Source organism: Homo sapiens, chromosome 8, assembly GCF_000001405.40.
Source record: "Homo sapiens chromosome 8, GRCh38.p14 Primary Assembly".
In the NCBI taxonomy this organism is placed as follows: domain Eukaryota; kingdom Metazoa; phylum Chordata; class Mammalia; order Primates; family Hominidae; genus Homo; species Homo sapiens.
In genome coordinates, this window is record NC_000008.11 from 9683221 (window position 1) to 9705180 (window position 21960).

The window sequence follows — 21960 nt, forward strand, 5'->3', positions numbered from 1 at the left end:
AAGATCCCTTGGTTATGTCAGTTTGTTTTTATTTTCTTCCTGTTGTTATCAAGAAAACAAATCTAGCTGCTAAAATTACAAGTATCTGTCCTAGTAGATATGTAGTCCTTTTTTAGAACATTTCTATGTGTTTATTTAGAATTAGAAAGTCAGATTGTGTATTAATGAGATGATAAAGGTACTTTTTCATATGTAGTAAATCAGGCATATAAAGTTTATTTCCTGAATTTCATTTTAGAACACAGCGTAGAAGCGAATCCTTTTTTGGAAGTTTCCTAAATTACTGTATTATTGCTTAACTGAGCCCTTTTCTTAGTTTTTACTACAGTTCCTGGTTTGTAAATTTAAAAAGCCCATGAAAATGTTAATTTTGAAATGTTTTTGGAAAAGAAATGTCTCTTATACAGTGGTTAGTAGGTGGGGAATTTGCCTAGAGATATGTGGGGGTTTGAGACTTTAGGTTTTTTTTTAATGTAATATGTGGGATTATACAATGAGAGTGTAAATTTTAAGTACTCTTAATTCTATACTGTGACTTGATGATTATCTAATTAGGTAATATGTGAGAAGTTAATATTTTGTTTCCCAAAGACAATTGTTTTCCTAACCTTTAGAATTCTGAAAATTATAAAACATCAATAAGGTTTTATACAGTTTATATTGTTACTATGCTTTTATTTTACACATAAATCAAAATTGGCTCCTGGCTACACTAGAAATTTTATTGGCTTTTTTTTTCCCTAAAAGCAGAATTTTTTTTTGTTCTAAAATGCTACCTTTTGTTGTTGCTCTAAAATGATACTTTTATGCAATTATATACGTGTTATAATGATGACCACTTTTAGAAACATAGGGACATAGATGTTATTTAGTCATCTTCTACCTTCTGCCCAGTATGATTAGTCATAACAGTCCACAATTCATTATTGCCATTAGGTGAACCAGAACCTGAAAATAGGTTGTTGCCTTTCTAGAATTCTTTATTCCTTTATTTTCAAACTTGGATTTTTTGATCTTTAATCTCCCTTTACAGTGTTTTATATCAGTATCAGATGTTTTATTAGCTATTATCCACATGTTCTGGCCTTGTTTGATATCTAAATTTAAGGTGGTAATATTCTCTTGTTTTCCAGTGTTAATTTTCGTAAGGATACCTTTTATAATAAATGAAAATAAATATTTGAATAAAATTAGTCCAACAGTCAACTCTTTTGAGAGTTCTTTGTGGTTCCTCTCTGTGTTATTCTCCTTTTCTAGGTGTCTTTATCCCCTTCCAAAATAAATGTCCAAAATTATCCATTCCTCATCTTAATAGGCAATAGGTAGGGGTTAGGGACTATTGCACATATTTCCAAATAGAAATAATATGTATCTTTGAATATATCTACTCTGCCTACTGTTGCTACTAGTATATGTCACCAATTAAAAGTAACTAATATTTGATAGGTGCTTTTAAAATAACATCTCCAATGTAATTTTGAGTATTTCAGGTTTCCCTCTGCTCCTTTCATTCATTCATTCCACCAACACTTAATACCTACCATGTGTGGGTCACTGTGCTTAGTGTCATGGGAGATAACTATATGGTTGATGGTACTGGTTAACGGGGAGCTCAAACATTGGTAGAATGATTAAGACATTATGGAAGACATTGAAGCTAATGCATTAAAATGATACAGTATTCCTTTTGCGGTGATACAGTTATAAAGTGCTGATTTAAGGTGACAGTGTTTTTTCCTGGCCCTTTTAGTTTTAACGCTTTAGTATTTAGTATACCCTTCTGTAAGAAACCACAAATTTAGATGAGCAGGTAATTGGAGGAACATGATTTTAATTCAGAAAACTTAAGGATTTCTTTAAGTGTCAACTTTCTGTAAATATTTGCTTCCAAATAGTTAATAATGAAGATGACTGGAAACAGAGAAAAGTAAAGTGTTTGAAAACTACTTTCAAAAGGAAATCAATCAGAAATAAAGTAGAATTTAGTGAATTTAGTGCTGTACCTTGAAGACACCATAGAAAAACTGTGATAGGGCAAATAGACTGTAAGGTCAGAGGGATTGGGTTCTATTCTGCTTTCCAAGTGTGTGTCTATGGCTCTAGAGTTTTTAATTTACTCACTCTCAAATGGAAATAACCATACCCTTTCCACAAGGCATTTGAGAGGATTAAGTGAAATAATGTGGTCAGTATACCTAGTACAGTTTGTAGCACACAGTAACCTTTAGAAAATTAGATTCCTACTCCTTTGATAATTTTTTCTGAAACTTTCAAATGTATCTAGAATGGACACTTACATACTTTTAAGTACTCCAGTGTTCCCCTTCTCTCCACTTAAATGTCCTTATTGTCCAAGCTCTGTCCCAGCTGCCTTTGGATAAAATAACCTATAGATTGTCTTGTAATCTATAAAGCATATAATTTAATTAATTCAGTTGGAGCTTGGCCTTCCCCTCTCTTCACCCAGTGTCACATTTAATAAATAAATTTGTCTAAATTAGCAGCTTATAAATTCAGAAATACATTCTTGAGATATATGCCCATTTTTAAACACGTGTTGATTAAAAATTAATATCTGGCTGAAAATAATGCCATATATGGAATTCCATAAACCCCATCCAGTGAAGAACAAGAAAGATGGAGGATTAGTGTAATTCTTTGTATCTACATTTAAGTTTTAGGGTTGTAGAGTTTCTCATTATTCTTGATCAGTACCCCCGTCTCTCAGTATAACTTTTTTCCAAATACTGTGTTTGGCCAGGATTTTAACAGTCTTTATGTGGTAGGTTGTTATTTGGAGATGCCTCAATAAACCGTCCCTTTTATTACTCATGCCCTTGTCTAGCCCCCTGCCACACTGACTCTGGGCTTAGCCTGGGACTGCTTTGAATAAAATAAGGCGCAAGTGATACTCTGTCCTATTCAGGACACGCCCCTGAGTTGGCCTGGCAGCTGCTAGTTTCTTTTTTTGTAATTCTTCTTGGAACCCAGCTGCCATGTCATAAGGCAGCCCAAGCAGCCATGTGACGAGGTCCACATGAAGAACTGAGGCCCCTAGCCAACAGACCCACCTGAGTTCGTATGGAAGCTTCTTAATGATTCTAACTATTCACACGTCCCAGACAATTTAACCCCATCTGAGTTCCCGATCCATCTTTAGGGTGACATCAGCCATCCTAGCACCGTAGCTCATACCACATAGAGCTGAAGACCTGCCCAGGTAATTCACTGCTGTTGGGGTGGTTTGTTATGTAGTAATAGATAACTGAAATACCTGATTAAAAGAAAATATAACTCAATGCTTATTATCTATTGGGCAAGAAAGATTCCATCTTTTTTTCAGCTTTATTACTGAAAATGATTCGTTGATAGTTACTTGGAAGAATAAGTGAGGATTTTAAAATATCTTCCCAAATGTATTTACGTCTTTAGATATGTTCAGTTCTTTTGAATTTATATCTTACAATTTAAGTATTTTCCCCCTTGAAATGCAAAAACATAATTTTATGTGCATCTTTTGGGGTCATGGTATTGTGGGAAAAAGCAGGAACTTGAAGCTAGAAGATCTGATTTTAAGTTTCAGCTGTTATTAGCCATGTGTTCATGGCAAATTTTATCATATCTCTGAGTTCTCAATTTTTTTAGCCTAAAAAAAATGAAGAATTTGGGCCATGTGAGCTCTAAAGTACCTTTCGACTCTAACATTTCAAGATTATAATATATTTTGTTACTTATTTTTCAGCAGAGTTAGTAGCAATTACCCATAATGCAGAATTGAATTTCCTAAGTGACTGTATCCTCACACTGGATAGAACACTGATGGCATCTGCAGTGAAGTTTATGTAGAGCCCTTTTCCCCTTTAAGAAAGGAAGTGTTAGCATTACCTGGGGGTACATATCTGGCTCTCTATGGCCTATAGTGACCTTTATCACCCTCCATTCTTGCCAAATCTTGGTAGATAAAAGGTCATACCAGTTTTAAATTTCCAACTTTTATGGATCCTAGCTCAGATGCTACTTGGGATTACAAGAAGGTCAAAATGCAGTAAGTCTGCATTAGGGAACTCTTCAAATACTTCAGGTTCAATTATATATCTAATCAAGTCACTTCTTCGGAGTACGTCTTGCTGAGCAATGCATATCTTACTGTAGTGCCAAAATCCCTTAGAGCAAGTTTTCTTGCCTCCTTATGTTGGGATATATTGTATAAAATCTTTATGCTTATGTATATTCATTTTGTACCAATGAGGACTTGAAAATGTCTTTTTTATTTTTCATTAGGGAATTGCTTCTACGAAAACAATCTCTATTTTGTCAAGCATGACATTTCTACTGGTAAGGGTAATTAGTACCAATGCCAAGTGCGCTGTTTTCTCTGCTGGAGAAATGAATTTTTAGTAGAAGGGGACCGACCACAGTGCTAAAAAGCAGCAAGATGATAAAACTTAGTTGTCCATTTACCTCTATTTAGCCACTCTCCTAGCTTTGAATTGTCCTGCCTTCCTATCCAGAAGCACAAGTTTCCTGCTGTTTTCCACTTTAGACTGCTCAAGGGACCGGAAGGGAGTTGGTACTAAATCCTTTGGCCGTGAGTGTGAGTCATTATTAAAAATTTAGAAGCCAAATTACAAATATGATACTTCAGCATCTGTTTTTAAAATTGTTAGAATCGAAGTTTAAAGTGTTCTTTCTGCCTTTACAAGTAAACCGAACTTTACATTAGTAGAGTGGATTACAACTACAGCAGTAGCTGGAAAAACACCCATGTCACAGAGGGGCAAAGGAAAAAGAGCAGGAAGAAACACACAAGACAGCTTCTGTGGTATTGCCGATGTCCCATTTCTCCAACTGAATGGATGCTGGATGATGTTTTAATATATGCTTTATAACTTACATGTTTCTATGGATTAAATATTACATGATAAAGATATTTTAAAATATCTCTGTAATGATTATGATTTGAGTACCCTTTGGTTTGAACAGACTGTTCAGTTAATATCATTTGACAGTAGAGTATTCTACAAAAAGTTATTTAAGTAAAAGACTATATTGTGTAAAAAAAGGCTTGTTTAGGTGCAAACAGAAGTCTGATTTCAGGAAATTCTTCCAGCCTGATGAGAAATGGCAAAAAGAAAGTGATGAGTTAATTATGGATTTAAGAATTCTGAAATTATCTGTAACTTTGAATTGACATTATTAAAACAATTGTTTGGCCACAATATAAAACCAATGTAAACTATTTCTTAATTCATTGTATACCATTTCTAGTGTCTTAGTCAGCTAGGATTGCCATACCATTGACAGGGTAGCTTCAACAACAGAAATTTATTTCTCACAGTTCTAAAGGCTGGGAAGTCCAAGGTTTAGGTTCCAGCATGGTCAGATGGTCTGTTTCTGGTGAGCAAGTTTTTTTTCTTTTCTTTTCTTTTTTTCTTTTGAGACAGAGTCTTGCACTGTCGCCCAGGCTGGAGTGCAGTGGCACAATCTCAGCTCACTGCAAGCTCCGCCTCCTGGGTTCTAGCGATTCTCCTGCCTCAGCCTCCTGAGTAGCTGAGATTACAGGTGCCCGCCACCATACCCAGCTAATTTTTTGTATTTTTAGTAGAGATGGCGTTTCACTATGTTGGTCAAGCTGGGCTGGAAGTCCTGACCTCAGGTGATCCACCCACCTCGGCCTCCCAAAGTACTGGGATTACAGGCGTGAGCCACTGTTCCCGGCCCAGCAAGTTTTTTCATGTCTGTACTTAGAAGGGCACTAATCTTATCATGAGGTTCCCACCCTTATGACCTCATCCAAACCATATTACCTCACAAAGACCCTGTCTCCAAATGCTATCATATTGGGGGTTGGGGCTTCAACATAAATTTTAGGGGAATACTAAGCATTCAGTCAATAAACCTGGTTATTTTTTCTTTATCACTGCCTTTTTTTCCTTTTATTAAAGAGATTATCACTCAAGCTTGCTTCTCTGTCTCACACATATGCATATTAATCCATTCACTCATCTCATTCAGTTAAATTAGGATTGTGTTATGAAAACAAATTTCTAGAAGTATCAAAAATCTTCATATTATTCTGCCTTTTAAAAGAATGTTTTCAGTGACTAATTTAAAGAAATGTTTTTCTCTACTAAGAATGCCATCAAGAGTAAAGCTTCAAGAAAGCACTGTAAATACTATGCATAATCACTTGAAATGCATATTTGGATAACTAAACTGGTAAATTTGGAAACAGACCAATTCTAAATATAAAATGTTTTATATTTTGATTTTATAAAAAAAATGCTTTAATTTGTTAATAGTAACATAATACCCTACTTTTGAATATTATAAAAATGCTCCATAAAATAATCTACTTTCAGACAGTGTTCAATACCCATTAGAATTGGGAGAGAAGGCTGTGGGCAGGGAACAGAACTAGACGTCTCTGCTCCTGGCTGTTTTTGGCTGCCACATTCATTATAGAAATGCAGAAACAACAAAGACTTTATCACTTAAGGAACTTTGAGGTGACAGCATATCTGCAGAATCCTAGAGCTCTTAGCCACATTAAAATCAGCTGAAGGAATTTGTCACTTTCCCAGTTTGCAGTTAAAATGACTATCTAATGATCTAAGGTGGACCGATTCCCTCCTATGTAATTATTAAATGCCGATCAGTGCAAGTGGTTTCTTCTTTCCAGAAGACCTCTATCTGTTGTCCATTACGTAGAATCTTTGATGCTTAGATATGAAAACCTAAGATTGAAAATATTAGTTACAAAAAGGAATTTATGTGCAGTTTGGGTAGTGTGAAAATTTTTCTCCTTTCATGAAGTGTGAAACATCAAGTTACATCAGACCAAGAAACCTTTGATTTTTTTCTTTTCATAAAATCTACCAGCTATTTCTCATTCGATGATGAAAACCTAATGTTGCACCTTGAGAGTACTCAGCATTTTTGTTCACACAAATCTTGTGAGAGCATGCTAGAAACTCATTTTCACCACACGTTTTAATTCTTCTGCTGATTCTGAGGCTGGAAAAGAGAAACACAAATTGCTGGCCGCTGAAAAATCCCCTTGAAGATTCCACAATGATAATGTGACGTTAAAATTGAATTAAGTTGGCATTCAGAGCTTTATTCTCACAGAGATTACCCTATGGATTTCTTGTTCAATCTTATCTGCTCTTCTCCCTTCCCTTCTCTTTCTCTTCTTAATACATACATTTAAAATAAAGATAGTCCTTTATATTCTCACTTTAAAAATAAATTTTTGGCCAAGCATGGTGGCTCACGCCTGTAATCCCAGCACTTTGGGAGACCGAGGCGGGTGGATCATTTGAGTTCAGGAGTTTGAGACCAGCCTGGCCAACATGGTAAAACCCTGCTTCTACTAAAAATGTAAAAATTAGCTGGGTGGCAGGCACCTATAATCCTAGCTACACGGGAGGCTGAGGCAGGAGAATCATTTGAACCTGGGAATAAATGTAAGTAAGTAAATAAATAAATAAATAAATAATGTTTACTATTTGTGGCAACTTGAATTACAGAAACCTTGTTTTATATTTCATAAATTCTTTAGCTGTTAAAATGCCTTCCTAAAGATGAGTACTTCCATTACTTTGGAAGAACATCCTTTCTGAGGCTATGAAATATCAATTGCTATTTTATCTCTGTTCATGTAATCTATCTAGGATTCATAGAATCTTACTTGGATGGGGACTTAATGGCAACTAGTTCAACCTCCCAATGCAGTGTTAGAACCTTCGCTATGACAGCTCTGACAGGTTCTGCTTAAGAGAGAGAGAGCTCGCTTGTTTAGATCAGACCATATTTGGATTTAGTGCTCAATTTAGGGTGTCACATTTTAAGAAGGGATATTGACCAACCAGAGTGTAACCAAGAAGGTAGTCAGAAAATTCTTCTCTAATAAGCAGTTGAAGTAACTGCAGGGGAGTTTAGTTCAAGAAGAGACCAAGTGACTGTCTGTTAGAGATATCTAGAAAAATCCTGCACTGGGAAGGAGGCAGAATCAATTATTCTTTCCAATTTCAATATTGTTATTCTTTTTTTGTCCTGCTATATTAAACTATTTTTAGGCAGCTTCTGTTATGAAGGAGTTCCACATTTCTGGGGCGCTTATCCAATGGAACAGTCACACTGTCATTATTGATAGAGTTTAATGTCTACTGACCTATGGATCAGAATGCTAAAGTTGTCAGAACCAAGGAGATCCCTGCCTGCCAAGAGTAATTCTTGCCCCTCAGCTATATTAGTCCATTTCTGAACATCCTATCTAGAACCTGAGCCCCCACACAAAGGAAAATTAGAAATGCAGAATGAGAGTTTCTAAGTCAGACTGCCTGGATTTGACTCCTGACTCTGCTTTTAACTTGCCGTGTTAATCACCCTGTTCCTTAGTTCCCTCATTTGTTGTGTGGAAGTAATAGTGTTTCTAGCTAAGGTAGTTGCTGTATAAACAAGTTAATACATATAATGCACTTAGAAAAGTGCTTAGTACATAGAAAATGCCCAAATTTTAGCTGTTATTTTTAATAAAATATTGGTATTTAAAATTTTTTGTATATGCTATGTCATTTTATTTTATTTAGTCATTGCTTATGTTTTCTATTTTCTACATCTTGCACTGGACACTGGCTTAGACTCAGTACAGATTGAAGATCTTTTATCAAAGTCAAAATAATTTATTTGATATATAGAGAGCCACACTCCAGCTAATGAATTATTGTTGTTCATTTTACAGCATCTCAGATATAAAAAATTTGGTTGCATCCTACATGTCTTTTTTTTCTATCTTGTTCCTCCTGTCCCTTCCTCTGATTCTTGTTGTCCCCCCTACTTTTATTTTAGGTTCAGGAGTGGGTACATTTACAGGTTTGTTGCTTGGGTAAATTGTGCGTTACTGAGGCTTGGCTTACGAATGATCCCATCACCAAGGTAGTGAGCATAATACCCAACGGGTAGCCATCCGGCCAACTCCCCTCTCAAGCAGTCCCCGGTGCCTGTTTTCCCATCGTTGTGTTCAGGTGTATTCACTGTTTAGCTCCCTCTTATAAGTGAGAACCTGTGTTTGGTTTGTTGTTCCTGCATTAGTTCACTTAGGATAATGGCTTCCAGCTGCATCCATGTCGCTGTAAAGGTTCTGTGTCATTTTAACCAGAAGACAACTTTGTGAGGAAGTCAGCACTGTTGTCACCCATCTCCCCCATTACAAAAACCGTGAATTAAAGACATTAATATGTTAAACAGCCTTAGGTTTTAGGAGTAGTATCATGCCATGATCCACTGTGATGAGACTATATCTGTCGTTAGATGCGTTTAGCTCTAAGAACAGTGCTTGAAAGAACCGCTGACCAAGAGGTCCAGGACCAGAGAGAAAGACTCGTAATGGGAGAGAAAACATACGGCTATTAGAGAATCTAGTCATGTCATCTGCAGAAGAGACAAATTGGAGGAGTCATACTTTTTGATAAAGAAGTGAATAAAACAGCTTTTTTCCTTTCATCTCACCTCGTTAATCAATATTTATTTTCCACAAGGTTTCTCTTTTAAATTATCATTCTAGTGTTCCAAAAGTTAAGTAACTTCAATGAGAGTGCCTGATCTTCATTATGGTACTACTTAAAAATCCCTTTGAAAGACAGCATTAGCAATGAAATATATTTATTTCCATGGACTCATGCCTATATCGATTCTCTAGCTGTTAATTTGTTTAGGGTTCTCATCTAAATATCACTCTCTCAAAGAGCTACTAAGCTCGTTGCTTCTTAGTTTCTTAGCAGATTAATCATGTCTCTGTGCCTGATAGAAATTTAATAAAGCTAATTATGTGTTTATTGTATTTTCCTAAGAATTCCATTTTAATGGCTAATGTAATATTTTATTTTTAGAAGGGAAACTTATTGATCTTAACCAAATGATAGATCAAATGAAATATGTTTTGATAAGACAGAGCAAAAGTAGAACATTACTAAATAATTATGGTACAGCCACACAATGGAAATACTGTACAGCTCTTACAAAGAATAAGACAGACAGATATGTACTAATATTAAGAGGAAAGAAGCTAATCATAGAAGAATATAATAACATTCCTATTTGTGTGGGAAAAAACAGCAACAAAAAGAACTCAGAGAGAAAACAAATACATGTTCATATACATGGAAAAATATCTGAAATGATCATTGTGCAACTGTAAATAGTGATTACATTTGGGAAGAGGGCTTGTTTGGCTGGAGGGAAAAAATAATAAACGTTTATATTATAGTATTTTCTCTACTGTTTGAATTTTTAGAGGGAATGTGGTAATTTTATAATTTAAAAAGGAGTTATTGGGGAGAGGATGGTGAATAAATGTAAAGTAACTGATATTGAGACTGGTTAAACTGAGAAAATACATATACAATACTTTATTTGTGAAGCCAGACCTGGACACAGAAAGATGCAGGAAGTTAAAAAAAATTACAAGGATGATATGTAGAACACATGAGTTCAGAGAGGTAGTACTTAAGAAAACTGATTACAAAACTGATGGTACATTGAACAATCTTACTACTAAAAGTAGAGTACAATATGTCACCTGATAGCATATGCACACGCACACACAATTTTCTCATTCTGGACAGATCCAGAAACAAAGAAACTGATTTACATTGCCTGGCTAAGGTAGGGTGACCAACCGTCTTAGTTTGCTGAGATCAATGGGTTTCCTAGGATCAGGAAAGTACTGGGCAAATCAGGACAAGTCAGTCATGGTAATCTAGAAAGTCCCAAAGGAGTTGGTCTAGGCCAAACTGGTTCTTCATCTTACAGAAAAACAAAATACACTGTATGTCACAGTTTAGAGGGCTCTCTGAGGACTTACAGCTTCACAGTTGTGATTTTATTCTTCCTTAGGAAATGCATCGAACATCACACATGCTTGTATTGAAGTGTCAGTGTAAATTTGTCACACAAATTTAAATTCACCATGTCGGATTATCCTTGTCCTCTCTTGACCTTTAGAAATGTAAATCAAAAGCTGACAATAACTCTCATTCATTCTTTTTTTTAAAAAATACCCTATTATATGTAAGGTGCTTTGTTAAGCCTTTAAAACATAAAATTAAGGAATGTTCTCTTTTCTCAGTGAACTCACAGTGAGTTAGGAGACAGATACACAAGTAAATAACTATTATTTTGGAACATGTGTAAGAGTAAAAGATCGTGGCAAGTGTTTTCAGGACCAGTCTTTTTTCTTTCAAAAAGTATTGTCCAGGCCCGGCATGGTGGCTCACACCTGTAATCCCAGCACTTTGGGAGGCCAAGGCAGGTGGATCACTTGAGGTCAGGAGTTCACGACCAGCCTGACCAACATGGTGAAACTCCGCCTCTACTAAAAATACAAAAATTAGCCGGGTGTGGTGGTGGGCGCCTGTAGTCCCAGCTGCTTGGGAGGCTGAGGCAGGAGAATTGCTTGAACTTAGGAGGCGGAGGCTGCAGTGAGCCGAGATCACCCCACTGCGCTCCAGCCTGGGCAACAGAGCGAGACTCTGTCTCAAAAAAAAAAAAAAAAAGATATTGTCCAAAGACAGAACAAGAAGAAAACAGGTAATTATATGGAACATTGGTATTTTGGAATCTCATTTAAAAATTTTGTTCAATAATAATAATAGTCCTAAGAAATTAAAAATATTTATATTTTATGCTTTTAGATGAAAGGTGAGCTAGATGCTAGGCTATTCTGTCTAGATGGTAGTTATAACTTGAAAAACTTCCCCAGCATTATCAGAGCAAGGAAACCTTTTCTTATGTACCCAGCAGTCATTTGTGAGATAACAACATATATTTTATATTAAAATGTAAATGCTAAAATTCCATTTGGATTAAGTATGTGATAATACATCTAGACATACTGATAGTTGTCATGATTTTATTGCTCAGTGGGGAAATCAAAAGATGTAGTCATTAAATTTTTGTGTTCCAGGCACATAACAGTATATAGGTCTTCCAAAGCAGATAGCTACATTATGAATCCATAAGAACTTTTAATTCTAATATTAATCCTTAGGAAGATTTTACCTTCCATCATTGTTTGGATTTATTAAGAAGATATGTATGAAATTAAATATTCATATTTTGTTACTGACTTAATTTTTTCAGAAGTTACTTTAATTCTCAGTGGTTCTAGCTAACTGATAATTGTGGCATTTGAGTTGCATGAAGTGGAGTGGAGTGAAGAAAGGGGAGAGGAAAAGGTGAAGTTGGAAAGTTGTGGGATGGGATGTAGTCAGGGAGATTGCTTATGGCCTTCTAGAACATTTTAAACACTTCAGTTTCTTCTTAGAGTGAGATGAAGACCCACTGGAAGATTTTGAGCACAAGATTTGTATACCTAACTTAGGTTTTAACAGGATTACTCTGCTGTCATGTTGTGTTACTCTAAGGGGATTATACTGGAAGCAAGGAGACCTAGTAGAAGGCTGTTGCCACTAGCCAGCTGAGAGAGGATACTGTCTTCAAGTAGGTGACAGTAGATGTGGTGAGAAGTGATTGGATTCTGGATATATTTTGGAGGCATAGTCTCCAAGAGAAATAGTCTGATGGGTTGAGCATAGTGTGTGGGAAAAAGATGGGAATGAAGAAAGACTCCCAAAGTTTTTGGCCTGAGTAACTAAAAGGATGGCGTTGTCATTAACAAGAAATTCTGCAGCATATGTTTCAAGGGAAGCACTAGGGGGAGCTCCATTTTAGACAGGAGAAAAGCATGAGAAGTCTTACATATATCATGTAGTGATGTCACATAGGCAGTTGGATTATAGCATATGACTATATGTCATTTACTCCATATAGTAACCAGTAACCTCCACAGTATGGAAGTTAGCAAAGAGGACTAGGTTGGAGATATAACTGGGGAGTTGTCAGTTCATGGGTGCTATTTAAAGCTACAAGACTGCATGAGCTCACCAAAGGAATGAGTTAGACAATGTAGAAAAGAGGTTTAAGGACAGACTTTTGGAGTACTCCAATGTCAAGAGAATGAAAACCAACCAGCAAGGACTGAGAAGGGGTAACCAGCTAGGGAGGAGGAAAATAAGGAGTGTGGTGAACTAGATGCCAAGGAAGAAAACATTTTAAGGAGGAAGAAGTGATCATCGATACCAAATAATGCTAATAAGGTCAGATAAGATAAGGACTGATAAATGACCACTAAGAAATAACATGAGGAAGTTCTAGCTAGAGCAGTCAGGCAAGAAAAAGAAATAAAAGGCATCTGGATAGGGAAAAAAAACAAGTCAAACTACCTCTCTTCACTGACACTATGATTTTATTCTAAGTATAAAAAACCGTAAAGACACCACCAAAAGGCTGCTAGAACTGATAAACGATTTTAGCAAGGTTTCAGTATACAAAATCCATGTACAAAAATCAGTGGCATTTCTATACACCATGAGCATCCAGGCTGAGAGTCAAATCAAGATCTCAATCCCATTTACAGTAGCCACAAATAAAATGAAATAGCTGGGGATATAGCTATCCCAGAGAGATGAAAGATCTCTACAAGGAAAACTATAAAACACTGCTGAAAGAAATCAGAGATGATACAAACAAATGGAATAATATTCCATGCTCATGGATTGGAAGAATCAGTATCATTAAAGTGGCCATACTGCCCAAAGCAGTTTACAGGTTCAGTGCTATTCCTATCCAACAATCAACATCATTCTTCAAAAAATTAGAAAAAACTATTCTAAAAATCATATGGAACCAAAGAACAGCCCAAGTAGCCAAAGCAATCCTAAGCAAAAAACAAAGCCAGAGGCATCACACTACCCAAATTCAAACTATACTGTCAGGCTACAATAAAGAAAACAGCATGGCACTGATACAAAAAACAGACACGTAGACTGATGGAATGGAATAGGAAGCTCAGAAATTAAGCCACATACCTATAATCATCTGATCTTCCACAAGTCCAACGAAAAGAATTAATGGGGAAAGGATTCCCTATGCAAGAAATAGTGCTGGGATAGTTGGCTAGCCATATGCAGAAGAATGAAATGGGACCCTTACCTTTCCTCATATACAAAAGTTAACTCAATATGGATTAAGAATTTAATTATAAAACCTAAAACTATAAAAATTCTAGAGAAAAACCTAGGAAATACCATCCTCAGCATCAGCCTTAGCAGAGAATTTTTGGCTAAGTCTCCAAAAGCAGTTGTAATAAAAATAAAAACTGACAAGTGGGACCTAATTAAAGAGCTTCTGCACAGCAAAAGAAACTACCAGCAGAGTAAATAGACAATCTACAGAATGGGAGAAAATACTCATAAACTATGCATCTGACAAAGGTCTAATATCCAGGATCTATAAGGAACTTAATTCAAAGCAAAAACCAGTCCCATCAAAAAGTAGGCAAAGGACATGAACAGACATTTTTCAAAATAAGACATACAAGCAGCCAACAAACATGAAAAAATGCTTATCATTACTAATCATCAGAGAAACGCAAATCACAACCACAATGAGATACTGTCTCACACCACTCAGAATGGCTGTTATTAAAAAGTCAAAAGACAATAGATACTGACAAATTTGCAGAGAAAAAGCAATGCTTATACACTGTGGAATGCAGTTTGGAAATTTCTCAACTTAAAACAGAGCTACCATTAGGCCCAGCAATCCCATTACTAGATCTATACACAAAGGAAAATAGATTATCATACCAAAAAGATACATGAAGTTGTATGTTCATTGCCATGCCATTCACAATAGCGAAGACATGGAATCAACCTAGGTGCCTATCAGTGGTGGATTGGATAAAGAAAATGTGGTACATATACACCATGGAATACCACACAGCCCTGAAAAAGAATGAAGTCATGCCCTTTGCAGCAATATGAATGGAGCCAGAGGCCATTAACCTAAACGAATTAATGTAGGAACAGAAAACTACATATCACATGTTCTCACTTATAAGTGGGATCTAAACATTGAGCACACGTGGACATAAACATGGGAACAGTAGACATTGCAGACTACTAGAGCGGGCAGCACAGGTTCAAGAACAAACTACCTATTGGGTACCATGCTCACTACTTGACTGCAGTATACCCATGTAACAAACCTGCACATGGCCCCCTGTATCTAAAAGTTAAATTTTAAAATGAAAAAAAAAAAAAAAAAGCTTAAGTATATAAGCAACTTAATAAGATGATGATAAATAATAACTATCATTTGTTGAGTTTTTCCAATGTGATAAATACCGTATTATGTACTTTGTACAGTTATCTTTAATCTGTAAAACATTCCTGTGTGATAGGGATTACACTTCCCACTTCACAGATGTTGGAAGCCCGGACGCAGAGACGTTAATAAATTAACACAAATACCTAGTAAAATTTCCAAAGCCAGAATGCAAAACCAGGATTTAAAAGCCTTTATTCATTTTTGCATGCCATGCTTCCTGGACTTACGTTGAAGCCACAGCTTTGCAAAAGGCTTATCAGTTGTCACTATTTTAGCTATGCCTTACATGCATGGTTGTATAGGAAAAATTAAAACTACCTTAAATGCTTTATACTGCACCGCAAATCTATATGAGAAAAGGCAAAGATAGACAAATGCAAGTTTGTTTTTTCTTATAGCCTGAATCCAAGAAGACATCTTTAATTTATAGGACTTCCTTAAGACCTTTTTTTCTGTTAACATTTTATGATATGAAGATATCAGTGATAAGATTTATCTTACAGCAGAATAATATTTAGATAGCTTTTGTATTTGTGTCTGTTCCATAATTTACTTTACATGTTTGTCTTTTAAAATGATCCTAACAGAAACGTCTGTTTTTAGAATAAATCAGAGGTGTAGAAACTGGCAGTGATTGCTGTGCTGTGTATGTGGATGTCCTAAATGTTTGATGCTTGTGTTTACTAGTTTACAACCATCATCAAATTACGTAGCAACATGTGTATTTTAGAAATGGGGCTGCCTTATTTATCTAAAACAAATGATACTCTGTTAATTATCCTAGCAATTAGAAAATTACTTTTACCATTGCTTTGCCATTTGGCAGTTGAGATATAAATTTGGCACTATGTGGTAACCATTCACTAGGTTTAGTCCTAGGGTGTGTGATTTTTTTGCTTTGGATCAGGAGACAGCATTTGGTAAATAGCAGTTGTAAATTTCTTTTTTCCCAAAGTTTGAAAAACCTCAGGGCTTTTAGTGGCATGAGTTTGCGCAAATCATCCTTTTTTTTCTCAATTTGTCTGTTCTTTTTCTCTTTGCAGTCTGCCATTTTCTCAAATTTATTGCATGCATTTTATTTATTTCTATGTGCCTTCTAGTGATGCTATATAAGTTGCAGGATTAGCATTCACATGGGAATGATGACTTGGAAAGTCTCACCCAGCTTGTTCTGCACTCACCCTTCTTGTGAATTCACCACTCTCATAGCTCAGCTACTCCTACTTAGATGCTGCTGCCACTTTGCTGACAGCGTCATCATTTCTCTCTTGGATTAGTCCTGTACCCTTCTGTTCAGGCCTTCCTGCCATAGAGTTTGCTCTCTCTCTTCAGCTTTATTCTCCACTTAGTAACTAAAGTGATCTTTCCAAGACTCTAATCTTAAGTAATTTTCTGCTTCAAGTCTTTCAGTGATTTCTCATTATTCTTAGGCTCTCCCCAGTCTCATACACTACACTTAGCCACTGAATTTTTCTTAAGTTTCTCAAATATACCTTGTCCACTGAATATTAACATGGATTCTTCACACAACCTGGAATAGTTTCTTATTCTTTTGCCTCAGTGATTCTGTTTATCCAAAGTCTCAGCTCAGAAAGCGTTTCTTCTGAGAATCTTCCCTGGCCCCGTTTCCCTCTGCTTGCCTCTAGAGTGGTTTAGACCAGCATCCTCCAGCCTTCCCGGGTGTCCTGAACTCCCCTTCCATGGGATTTGTCCACATCCACAGCATTTATATTGTATTGCCTGCTTTCTCTAGTGACTTGACTCCTTAAAATGTAGACTTCTGTTTCCTCATCTTTTGTCCTTCTGAATAAAGAATTCATTTATATGCATTTCCTTTAGAGAATCAAACTTGGTGTGATTTTGAGAAAGAAGAAGATCCATAAGCTCAAAATACTGATTTCGCTTTCCTTGTTTTCATTGCTATCCCTAGCACTTAACGTGGTGTCAGATACGTGGTAGAAATTCACATATTTTAGGTGAATGCTAGTGATGACCAGATTTTTGTTTTAGCCTTAACCTCTTCTGAATTCTAGTGCCATACGTGTAAGTCTCTCTCTCTGACATTACCACTGGGGTATCATCTAGGCACTTTAAATTCAGTAAACCCAGACCTCACATTATTTCCCTCTGGGCTCTCCTTTCCCTTACACTCCCTTCTTTTTTTTTTTCTGTTGTTCTTCTGTCATTGGCATTTCCAACCTGGAAACTACTCTATCTCTCACTAGCTAGATCAGTCATTTCTCAGAGGCTATCAATTCTGCTTCCTAATAGTTTTTGAAAACTCACCCTTCAACTCCATTTTTTCACCGACTTCCTGTCACTTTCTACCTTAATTACAGAGCCTGCTAATTTATTTGAGTTATATAAATTTCAGTAGTTTAAAAACTAAATATATTACTGTTTTCAAAGCATTGTAAATCTTACAATTAAATGATTTTTTAAAATCTGAAAACTAGTTAAATTTTTCTTATGTTTTGCCCCCTTTTTTTTTTTTTTTGAGACGGAGTCTTGCTTTGTCGCCCAGGCTGCAGTGCAGTGGCCCCATCTCTGCTCACTGCAAGCTCTGCCTCCTGTGTTCATACCATTCTCCTGCCTCAGCCTCCCAAGTCGCTGGGACTACAGGTGCCCGCCACCACACCTGGCTAATTTTTTGTATTTTTAGTAGAGACACACAGGGTTTCATCGTGTTAGCCAGGATGGTCTCGATCTCCTGACTTCGTGATCCGCCCGCCTCAGCCTCCCAAAGTGCTGGGATTACAGGCGTGAGCCACCATGCCCGACCTGCCCTTTTAAATAAACTGTAGGTTTTCATATGCATTCATTCATTTGAGAACTTTTGTTCATTTTCAGGAATAAGAAATAAAAGTTACTGAATGAACTTTATACAAAGAAAGTTGTGTAAAAGATAATACGAAAATGGAGCATCTTTTTGTTCATAAGCAAGAAAGATGTGACCCTTTTTATGTAATATTAAATATTAGCTATGTGCTATACTAGCTTGCTGACTTACTGACCAGTCCTCCAAAGCAGTCCTTGTCTGTGGAGGAAGTTTTCAAACTGCAATGAAAAGTCCAATTCAGTCATGAAAGAATCCAAGATAGAATAAGAGGGACTAGATTTACCTTGCTTCCTGAAACTCTGAGAAAAATAGACAAAATGTATGAAACAGTGGTTTTCAGACATTGAGCATCAGGCAGTACATGGTAATTATCCCTGAGAGAGGGTAACAACTCCAACTTACCGCCTCCAAAGAATTTCCAGGCCTTAACACAAGGAGGGGAAAACCAGGAGGAACCTGATGGTCTCCCTGAGTTGAGGAGATGAAATTGGGAGTTTGGGGAGACTAAGGTGGAAGGAGTTAGCAAGGCAGTGGGCCAGGAAAGGGAGATACACACAGGGGCCCCTTACAGTGTTCAGATAAGTACTGAGTAACACATGGGTGAGGAGACTGCTTGAGGCTAGTAAAAGAACCACACGGAAAGATGAGAGGTAACAAGCCTAGGAACTCACACAGAGTCTGTAATAGTTTCTGTTGCCACCAGCCATAGTAAAAAGCCCTCATAATTCACTGGGTGTCATCAAAGGACAATGCCTCAGTAGTAGGGGAAAATCTGTCCTACACTAAAGGCTGCTCTGGCCCTGCCTACCAAAGCCTAGAAGCAAGCTTTGAAATTAACCTAATATTTGTGTAATTGAAGTCCCTAGTGGGAATAATTCCCTAGTGAGAGTAATAGGAGAGGGAGCAGAAAAAATATTTGATGAAATCATAGCTAAAAATTTTCCAAATTTAGTGAAAACTATATAGGTCTAAGAAGCACTGCAAGCTCCAATTGTGGGCATGCATGCGTGTGCGTGCACACACACACACACACATACACACACGAAGAAAACTATACCAAGGCACATCATAATCAAATTGCTTTAAGTCAGTGAAATATTAATGTAGAGGAAATATTAGCGTATCCACAGGGGAAAAAACACATGTACAAAGGAACAAAGATAAGGGTAACAGATTTCTAGGCTTGAAACAAAGCAAGACAGAGGACAGTGGTATAACATTCTTAAAATATTAAAGGAAGGAAAAAAGTTAACTAAACTTCATTATCCAGCAGAAGTATTCTTCTAAAATGAGAGTGAAGAGTCCTGAAAGTAAGTTGATACTCCCTGACAGTATCATTTGCAGTAGCATTTGACATGGATCTCAAAGCAGAAACTTAGCTGGACATGTTTGATGATAAAAAATTTTAGTTGCCTATTTTTACATGGCATTTTACATTTTAAAAAAGCACAGTGGCTCACGCCTGTAATCCCAGCATTTTGGGAGGTGGAGGCGGGTGGATCACTTGAGGTCAGGAGTTCCAGACAAGTCTGGCCAACATGGTGACACCTCAGCTCAAGTGAAAATACAAAAATTAGCTGGGTATGGTGGTGCGCGCCTGTAATCCCAAATACTCGGGAGGCTGAGACAGGAGAATCACTTGAACCCGGGAGGCGGAGGTGGCAGTGAGCCGAGATCAAGCGACTGCACTCCAGCCTGGGCAACAGAGTGAGATTCCATCCAAAAAACAAACAAACAAAAAAGAAACAAAAATGTGTTTCTGTATGGGTGAAAACTTTACAGTAGTTTTCCCTTATCCTCGGGAGATAACGTTTCAGGAGCCCGGTAGATGCCTGAAGCCTCGGATAGTACCAAACCCTATATATGGTTTTTTGATCTCATAACTGAGATGGCTACTTAATTTGTAGCATCTTCAGTGTGGATATGCTGGAGGAAGGGATGATTCCCATCCAAGGTGGCACAAAGTGGGCAGATTTCATCAGGCTACTTAGAATAGTGCTCAGCTTAAAACTTATCAATTGTTTGTTTCTGGAATTCCACAAGTAATATTTTCAGACTAAAATTAACCACAGGTAAGTGAAATTGTACTGTATTTTCACAGGTTTTTCAGATAGCGAGGATGAGTGATTTTATCTCCATTTTATACATGAAGAAGCTGAGACACACGAGTAGCATGACTTCCACTGGGTTGCATAATAAGTTCCAGGAATGTAGTCAGGTTTCCTGACTTCCTGTTCAGGACTCTTCTAATCTGAATGGTCTCCTCGTTGATAGCTGTGCATTGCTCAAAATATTTTCTAAACTTAGAGACTGACAGAATATGTAAAATGTATGAAATATCTCAAAAGCAATAGTAGTACAGTGTTTAGTACTTCTTTTGTATCTTCACATCTGGAATAGGTGAAGCAAATAAATTAAAAATCTTATTAAATCTCAAGACCCCAAATAGAAGACAGGAAAAATGAAAGGGAATGCATTAAAGTATATTAAAGCCTGTATGAAAAACCCGTTATGGTATTTAAACTTTAAATTAGCAAAGGTGGAAAATTGCTATGGTTGCAGAGAAGTTTTTAATTAAAGTGAAGTTATTTCTGATTCTTAAAAGGTGAGAAGTTTGATTATTTTAATTACCATACTAAATTTTAGTAGAGAACCTTCTAATAACTTGACTCAAATTACAATGTGGCAGAAATTAGCTGGGAAGAAACTGTATTCCTCTCTTGTCTTTACACTGTGTATGTGGTACATAAAATGGAAGAATTAAATGCTACCTTGGTATACATCATTGCACCCAGTGTAGCAAATTAGTTTTGACCATTACTAGCCGCCGTACAGAATGAATAAGGCCCATTGTCCTTTTTGTTTCCATTAAAGTTTGTTCAAATTGTTCTTTAGGGATGTTTTTCAATCTTTCCTATTAAAGAAATTTTGAGAGCTAGATCTTTAGATAAAGTTTTATGGTAGAATTGGGATTTGAAGGTTAGAAATTGAAAGGAGGACAGGATTTAAGTAGGATAAGGAAGAATGTTTCCAATTATAGGAAACATGAGCCCTGGTGTGTCTTCTCAGAACAGTGAGAATGTTTCATGTTGGAAAGAAATAGGAAATCATGTAGAATAGGTAGGGTAAGGTTTGATTACTGATGGCCTTAAAAAAACAAGTAAGTGAAATAGGTGGATGGCACTAAAGTTAGTATTGACTCCTGAGGGCAGTAAATTATCTCTCCTTAAGTTATGAAATGTGAATTTTTGACATTTCAGCGCAGTATTTTTGTGTCAACTTTCATTGTGTTTAAATCTGAAATGGCAAAGCAAGGATTTTCTTTGTTTGTTTGTTTTTACCTGAAAAGGGGATGTTTTTCTTTTCTAGTCGACTCCTTTACATCTAGCAGCGGGCTACAACAGAGTTCGAATAGTTCAGCTTCTTCTTCAGCATGGTGCTGATGTTCATGCAAAAGACAAAGGGTAGGTCTATCAGTTTACTTCCTGTCAGTGCTTTGTTTTTTGTCTGATACTCTAAACTTTTAAAACACTAGACAAAGTCATATGTCCCATTTGTTACGGCTTACATAACGTTTTAAGAATGTTCATAACTCTGGTTTGAGGCTTTATTTTCATGTACCTACTTAATTAAGGATACTTCTCATAATAATTTCCCAAATCAATTTAATTTTATCACCGTTCTGTTACTTGAAGTTGAAATTGTGTCTCAGTTGCAGTTAGGGTTTTTCAACTCTTAAATTGCATTTTAGAAAAATAAAACAAATTGAAAATTATGAAAATCCAGTAGCATAGCTATCAGATTCAACAGATAGTAAAGGATCATCCTTTATTGATAAACCAAAATCATAAGTATACAATACCAAATTTTTTTTCTGGTGAAATCTT

At 36.5% G+C, this 21960-nt stretch overlaps 1 protein-coding gene across 3 annotated transcripts in view; it reads left to right on the top strand.

The window, feature by feature from the left end:
- Positions 1-21960, top strand: part of TNKS (tankyrase) — a 226435-nt gene that overhangs the window by 127309 nt on the left and 77166 nt on the right. For all 3 annotated transcript variants that reach the window (NM_003747.3, XM_011543845.4, XM_011543846.4), the window contains exon 6: positions 21443-21537. In NM_003747.3, coding sequence (NP_003738.2) covers positions 21443-21537 — 95 coding nt within the window. The remainder of the gene's footprint in view (positions 1-21442; positions 21538-21960) is intronic.